The following is an 8411-nucleotide window of genomic DNA, read 5'->3' as shown; positions in this document are numbered from 1 at the left end:
ATACATAGACACACTCACCCATTCACCTGTCTATCCATCTATCCATCCATCCATCCACCCACTCACCCAGTCATCCATGCACCCGTCTACCCAACCACCCATCCACCCAACCACTCATTCATCCATCCACTTAATCATCCATCCATCCATCCACTCATCTACCTGTTCATCTATCTGTCCATCCACTCATCCTTCCACCTATCCGTCCACCCAACCCTCCACCCATATATTCAACCATCCATCCATCCATCCATCCATCCATCCATCCATCCATCCATCATAGTGTACATTTCATGTACATCAGACACTATTCTGGGCCCAGGATAAAGCAAGCCCTTGAACAAAACACCTAATCTTTCAACCTCAAGCTTTCTCCTCTGTAAAAATAGATAAGAGCACCTACCCCTCACCACTTTCTCTGAAGAGGTGCCAGTCCATGTCCAGGAGACAAAATCAATGTCTCACTTGGATAACGGCCCAGGGATAGGCTCAGGGAGGAATCCAAGGATTCCTGGATCAGAAGACCCAGTCTACTGTACAGTGATAAATGTCTGCTTCTGTCAGTCACTAAGTGTATGGTGATTTGTTACTGCAGCAATAGAAAATGAACACAACTTCCATTTTTTTAAAGCCAATGAATTGCATTTAGATAATGTTTCTGCAATATTTTAACACTTAGGGCAGCTTGTTCTGAATCTCTTCCTTAAATCGACCCTTTGCACTGGCTTTCACCTTCTCCTGCTTAGCTCCCTTAGAAATGGATCTCCACTCTCTCTCTGCCTGAATCTTTCGATTCATCAATTGACCAAGTTCTTGGTTTATTCCCTCATTCAACAAATAATGAATGGGGACAGCCCATTCACATTGGCAAGTGAGATGTGAGAATGAACATGCACAGAGACCTGCATAAGGAAACTCACCCAGAGAAGGGAGACACAGGTGAACAAAGCGTAAGTGAAGAGTAAGAGGCATGAGCAGCGAACATGGCTCCATGGGGTGCAGAGGAGGCCAGACCAGGGAGCAGAGGGGGAGATGCGGCCGATCTGGGTGTGTCATGGAAAATGCCTGGGGAGGAGTCCAAGTGCATTTTAGTGGAGGCATGATGGACATTAGCGGAGCTGGGGTTCGGGAGCTCCTTCTGGCTGAGAAGGCACTGCAGGGAGAAAGAAGTTCAGTTAGGGGAGACAAGACAGGGTTACACAAAGTAGCCTGTCTAGACGGAGAGTCTGGGAGACAGGATGGGCGAGATGGACCCTGGCATCCACCGGGCAGTGGGTAGAACAAGGCAGCACCACAGATGGAAAGGACAGTGGAAGGATGCCTCATGTCACCAGGCTGCTGCGGGATGCTGGGCAGTGACACTGCGGGGCTGTGCAGGTGGAAGCAGAGGCCACAGCAGCCATGGGAGCCCCTGAGGAAACGGGAGGGTGCAGTCTCCACAGAGGAACCCAACTGTGAAGAGTTTGAGAAGGGCCAGGAGAGGAGAGAGAGAGTGGAACAGGAACAGGTGGAGCCGCAGAATAGAAAGACAGACAGAACTGCAAGAGTTTCCACAGTAAGTGACAAACATTGACAATGAAAGTAGAATTTTCCAAAATTCCCATTAGCTTTGGCAATCAGGAAGTCAGGGGTGACCTTTGTAAAACATGTCAGCTGGTTGGCAGGGGCGGGGACCCTGCATGAAGATGGAATGTTCAGGAACAAGCAGTTCACAGAGAAGAAAAACATTTCACACAGGCAAACGACAGTGCATGTGTGTGCGTGTGTGCATGAGTGTGGGCATGCATGCACATGTGTAAATTAGTGTGTGCATGAGTGTGTGTGTGCGTGCTTGTGTGCATGAGCTTGTGTGTGTACATGTGTGTGGGCATGCATGAAAGTGTGTAAATGAGTGTGTGCATGAGTATGTATTTGCGAGTTTACTTCCCATGTGTAGGAGAGACAAGTAAAATAAGTCAGCATGTGTAGATGGTGAAAGAAACAAGCCAGCACAGAAGAGAGAGTTGAAAAACAGTGTGTGGACAAAGACAGCCTCAGGGAACAGGTCCCAGACCCAGAAGAAATAGGAAAGGGTTGGACCAAGACCAATATAAATAAAGGTTTCCAAATCTGATCACATCCCTGTTGGGGAGGGCTCAGTGGGAATTACACAGCCAGGTGGCATCAGTGGGTGCCTATGCTGATCCAGCTCTTTGTGCTCCACTGCTGGGACCCTCCCAGTTTCCACCTGTGCAGCCCTGTGCCCAGCGGCCCCTCTTCTGGACTTCAGTCCTAGAGACAAGCATACCCCTGCCCAGGGACTGTGGGCAGAACCCAGTTCAGCAGCTGTCACGGACTCATGGAGACCTGGACGCCCACAGCAGGGGCACGTGCAAGAGCACAATGACTCTCTAGCACATCAGAGCCAGGAAGGACTTCAAAAGAAGGAAGCAGGCCCAAACGCTGTCATGCACACGCATGCCTGTGGCAGCGCTTGGGGAGGACAAGAACACCGTGCCAGGCAGGGCGCAAAACAAAGGCTGAAAAATGTGAGAAAGACAGAGAAAGACATAAAGAGAGACAGAGACAGAGAGACACATAGAGACAGAGAGAGACAGAGGGAGATAGAAACAAAGAGAAAGAGAGAGAGGGACAGAGAGAAACAGAGAGATATGGAGAAACAGAGAGACAAAGAGAGACAGAGAGAGTCACAGAGGAAGACAGAGAGAGAGAGACAGAGGAAGCACACACACATCTCCAAGCCCTCTCCGGGGACCAGTGCTCCCAGCCATCCCATGGGAGTGACCCTTCTCCTTTACCACCTCCTGGAAGGAAGGCCCAAGAGAATGTGCAGCTCAGCTTAGAGGAGAGGCAAGAGGAGACCTCACTGCTCCCTTAGCCACTCATTCCAAGAGCTTTTGCAGAGGACCTGCCACGTTTCTCCACACTATTCTGGGGAAAGGTGAGAGTCAGACCTGGCCAGGTGACAGATCAGCACCTCTGGCAGCCACCCTGGGACCCATGTTCCTCTTGCCCAAATTTCATTTACTGGCCGCTGAGGGAATGCCACGAAAACCAACCCTGGCTGAGTGCGGTGGAGTTTGAGACCAGCTTGGCCAACATGGTGAAACCCTGTCTCTATTAAAAATACAAAAAAAAAAAAAATAGTTGGGCGTGGTGGTGGGCGCCTGTAATCCCAGCTACATGGGAGGCTGAGGCAGGAGAATTGCTTGAACCGGGGAGGTGGAGGTTGCAGTGAGCCGAGATCACACCACTGCAATCCAGCCTGGGCGACAGAGCAAGAATCTGTCAAAAAAAAAAAAAGATGAAAGAAAGAGAGAGAGAAGAAAGAAAGAAGAAAGAAAGAGAGAAAGAGAGGAAGAGGAAGGAAAAAGAAGAAAAAAGGAAGAAAGAAAGAAAGAAAGAAAGAAAGAAAGAAAGAAAGAAAGAGAAAGAAAGAAAGAAAGAAAGAAAAAGACAGGAGGGAGGGAGGGAGGAAGGGAGGGAGGGAAGGAAGGAAGGAAGGAAGGAAGGAAGGAAGGAAGGAAGGAAGGAAGGGGGAAAGAAAAGAAAGAAAGAAAGAGAAAGAAAAGAGAGAAAGGGAGAGAGAAAGGGAGATGGAGGGAGGGAGGGAGGGAGAAAGGGAAGGAAGGAAGGAAGGAAGAAAGAAAGAAAGAAAGAAAGAAAGAAAGAAAGAAAGAAAGAAAGAAAGAAAGAAAGAAAGAAAGAAAGAAAGAAAGAAAGGAAGGAAAAGAAAGAAGAACTACGCCATTCCTGGCAACTCCATCAGATTTTTAGAGAAAAATGGAAATAATTCAAGCATGCATCATCATTAAATCTATTAAATCTAGGAATTACTAAATGTAACAAATCGTAGTTTAAGAAATGCGATGGAGATTTAAGCACTGTCCTAAGATGTCACTTTTATTAAAAAGACAATTTCTTTACGTAATTATAAAAATAACCTGTGTAGTGGCGCCAATTTATTTCTATGCCCATATTCTCTCTCTCTGCTTTTTTCAACTCCTCCCTATCTTACACACACACACACACACACACACACACACACAGACGCACACACACACCTGCTTCCTCTGTGAACTGAACCCTTCTCTCTAGTAGCTTGGGAGCCACTGTGTGTCCTGAGCCCCAGCAGAGATGACTGGCCCTCTGGTGTGTCAGATGACCCCACCTGGACCCTGGAGAGCCTTCACTGGGAATTGAAAATGCAAGTCAGAGAGGCTGTTCTTTGGAAATCGGGAGCTCTGAGTTTGGGCTCTGTGAGGCTTAGGCATCTTCTCCAACATGCGCTAGAGAGAGATCTGCAGACACTCAGGTGAGAGAGGAAGTCCTGATAGCACACATCTCCTGGCTCCAGATGGCCCCTGAATGGTGCTCATTCTGAACTCTGAGGGAGTCCAAAATTTGCCTTCGTAAAGTCACCTATTGCTTTCAGCCTAATCAAATTTGATTTATCTCATTGCATCCATGGGAATCCTCACTAAAAACACGGGAGGAAGTCCAGCACAAGCTTCACAGTGTACTGCTTCCTGATGGAATTGGGGTGATTTTCATTTTTGTGCATCCTCATGGCAAGAGGCCTTCTTGAAGTTTTAATTTGTCTTATTCTTGCAGCTTAAGACTTCAAGAAGTAAAAAATCAGAAAAACAAACAGATGGCAAAGATGTCAAAGCTACTTAATAAATTGGCTATCTAGTTTGTATCTTATACCATTGATTATTTTTGTCATAATTATTTTCTGTCCGGTAATGAGACAAAAATAATGAATAGTACACAGGACAGATAGCATTACCTGATAATAGACAGACTATCTACAGGGAAGCGTCTATCCAAAACATGGGCTGACGGGAGATGAGATATGTGTGAACAGAAGTTAAGTTAATGATGCTGGTGCTGAAGACTGGGCCACTTTAAAGAACCTTCTGGAAGTTCTTTTCCTAGAAGAACTATTTCATAGCCCAAACCACTTCCACTTCTTTCAGTACTTTTGCATATTTTTCAGAGGTTGTTAGTCAAAGGATATAGGGGCAGGCCTCTTTAGGGAGCTTGCAAAGAGCTTATAATTTCCACTATAAGAGGACACACTTTCAAAATTTCTGCTACTGTAAATTCAGAATGTAACAAGGTTGTCTCCTCTTTCTCAGGTGTTCCTGTGCAGAGCCACAGTGATGCCGGCTGATTCAGAGGTAAGAGTGCCATCTACTGAATCTAAGACCTCACTTCCGGCAGTCCCATGGCTGATCCTTGGAGATTGCCCACCCAAGACTCCAGCGGGCCACCTGCATGTGGGGGAGGGTCAGGCACACAGGGCACAGGCATCTAACAGCCCGAGGACAGGACACAATACCAGATCAGTGCTCACAGGAGAAAGGAGATGGGTTGTTGTTTGCTGGTTCAAAAGATAATTATGGCACCAGATCTGAGAAGACTTGCAGATGCAAAGTCACCGAGAGTCCCCTGGGAGAGAGGAGTGCAGACACCCAGTTGAGAGCCTGCCATGAGCTTGACCTGCCAGGGAGAAGCGTGGAGGGTGGAGTCAGGTGGCCCAGGCGTGCGTCTTAGAAAGAAAGAAGAGCCCGTTAAAATCACAGAGCCGCTGATGGGGCTAGGCGCCCCTTCCCCAAGAACAGGGACCGCTTGGATGCCTGAGGTTCTGACTCCACTGTGTGTGTGTGCATGTGTGTGTGCGTGTGTGTGTGCATGCGTGTGTGTGTGCATGCATGTGCGTATGTGTGGTGTCCAGGGCATTCATATAACCACTTTTCCTTAGTTTTCCTGTAGGCAAATCACAGGTGATAATAGCGCACCCGTGCACCTACCTCACTTCACTGTGGTGGAGATTAATTCGCTACTGTTTTGAAGTAGCTTTGAAGATGCTAAGCGTTATTATGATAATTGCCACATAGAGTTTCCGAAAGAGCTTAAAGCGAGCTTGAAGTCTATTTGTTTCACTTTCATCTATGTTGTCGAGCTACCCATCTTGTATAATTTGTACAGATACATGATAACACTTGAAACAGCTGTGTCTCATACAAAGGTTACATGACACATGCAGTGAGAATGGCCACATTCCATTGCCTTGGGTTTGGATCTTGGACTGCCTTGAAGTCCGTGGGCAGAGGGTGGTGAAGAAGTCGCCTATCCTATTAGAAGCCTCCTCTATTTTCTGGGGGTTAGGATTGGGGTAAAAGGATGGAGAAACCTAGACCAAATGGAACATGTAATATTTGGAGAAATAGCATCAAATTCAGAGAGGAAAATGAAGGAGGAGCCATCGTTCCTGCCCTCAAGCATTTTTAGAAGATTTGGGTCCCCAAGCGCCCACGCGTGCTGGGCTGAGAGCCGGTCCTGCAGCCTCTGTGACCAGGGCTCTAAAGACGCTTTCTCTGCTCACCCTCCAGCGGGGAGATTTCTCCTCCAGCTTCCACTCTGCACTGGTCACTCTTAGTGGCTAGCTTGGCCTCTAGAGCATGAAGCAGCATTGATGAAGCTGGCCGAGCCAGCCCGTACTTCCACAAGGGGACCACAGTTCTGCTTAGAAATCAAGGGGTAGACGACAATAGACACACGCTCAAGGGAGTTGAGAACTCTTGTTTAGGAGGGTTGATCAGTGGCCACATGAGAGCCATCCAGGCCATGCACGAGTGGCCACTGGGTGGGAACACAATGGGGCAGCCCCCCCTCTGCCCTGTGCACAAGCTTCCCTGCTCCCCAGTGATGCGGTCACCCCCGGCCCAGCTTCCACCCCAGCCTCTGAGCTCAGCACAGCTGCTCTCCTTCTCCTACCCTAGATGCCTGGAGATCCCCAACACCGGCCTGGGCAGGCACACAGCTCAGCCAGTCAGAATCAGACCTGGAAGGTGGAGACCCTCTGCATCAGCAGAGGCCCCTCAAGGGAGAAGGGGTGACTGTACAGTGCCTGCAGACATCTCTTTAAACTTCTAAATGTGGGTTGTGGCTCCATTGTGTCTGAGAAACTGGAGGACTGTTGGCAGGACACAGGGAGCCGAAAGCAGGGAGTGGAGAGGGTCCTTCCTGTGAGAATCTCGGGCGCTAGGGGAGCCTGGTGCTGGCCCAGGTCACACAGGGCTGGCAGAGGACCCCCAGGCTGCCTTGTTGCACCGGCTTCCCAGGAGTCCACCAAGGCTCTTTCTGGGCAGTGGTGAAGGGGCTGTTCCTGGAAGCGGATTTGGGTCTTCATGCTGGCACACAGCGGCCACAGCAGGGGCACAGGGACAAGGCAGACCCACATTCACAACCTGGGATTCTCAAACATGACTGGAGCTGCTTTTGAGCAAGCCAGCTCACCCTGTGGCCAGAGGGCTTGAGGTCGCCATCGTCAGAGCTGGAACCCATTTACAGCTTCAGTTTGATGGGCTGGAGTCAGCCCTCAGGCACTGGTTTGGCTTTAGGCAAGAGGACCCCATGTCTCAGAGTCACAACAATACAAGCATGAGAACCTGCTAGGGGCTTGGCTGCCCACCGGGCTTCAGAGTCCAGCACGTCATCTTCCTACTCCAGAGCTGCATTTTGTTACCCAGAGGGGCCGGGGCTCCAGGGCCAGACCCATTGCCCTGTGACGGTCTGCTGGGGCTGCCGTGGCACAACACCACCGACCAGGAGCTTAAACAGGCGTTACATTCTCACAAGTTTGGACGCTGCAAGTCCAAGGTCAAGGCATCTGCAGGCTTGGATTCTCCTGAGGCCTCTCTCCGTGGCTTGTAGCCGGCTGTCTCCTTCCCATGTCCTCACACGGTCTTTCCTCTGTGTGTCCATGTCCTCATCTCCTCTTCCTGTTAGGACACAGTCATGTTAAATAGGGCCCACTGATATGACCTCCCTTTACCTTAATTACCTCTTTCAAGACTCTATCTTGAAATACAGTCTCCAGTTTACTCTATCTTGAAATACACTTTACCTTCATTACCCCTTTAAAGACTCTATCTTGAAATACAATCCTATTCTGTACTTGTGGAGTTGAGGACATCAACATAGAAATATTGGGAGGGACACAGTGAATTTGGGGGATGGCAACATCACAGGGAAAGAATAAATAAAAGCAAGACAGCTGTGATTTTATTATCCTATGAAAAGCAGGGTATGACAGAGATTCTCGGTTATTCCTTCAGGTAAAGGACCTGGATAAGAAAAAGAGATAATTTTTTGCATCACTAAACTCTCATTACATTTTCTTTGATGTTTTATTGCTAAATTCTTTTTTGCGTGGTCATATTCCGATTTAAGAGCAGGCAATACACATTGCAGCCAAAAATATATTCAAGCTACTATAAATATGTTAGCTAATATTTTCCTTTCCAGGTTATTTTGGTGATAATTGATGTGAATATTTTATAGTCCACTGAATTTTCAGCTGAATGAAGGCTTATAAGAAAAAGTGGTACTGAAATATT

General features: G+C 48.2%; 1 annotated feature.

The window, feature by feature from the left end:
• Positions 8242–8411: an enhancer, noted in NCBI's record as "experimental_84199 CRE fragment used in MPRA reporter constructs". NCBI's record gives its function as "activates a minimal promoter by MPRAs in K562 erythroleukemia cells, with activity observed for both the introgressed and non-introgressed 5:2576366 variant alleles {active_cell/tissue: K562}" and the evidence as "EXISTENCE:reporter gene assay evidence [ECO:0000049][PMID:34662402]".

This window comes from Homo sapiens, chromosome 5 (genome assembly GCF_000001405.40).
Source record: "Homo sapiens chromosome 5, GRCh38.p14 Primary Assembly".
NCBI classification, from domain to species: Eukaryota; Metazoa; Chordata; class Mammalia; order Primates; family Hominidae; genus Homo; species Homo sapiens.
This window is presented reverse-complemented; position numbering and strand designations above follow the sequence as displayed.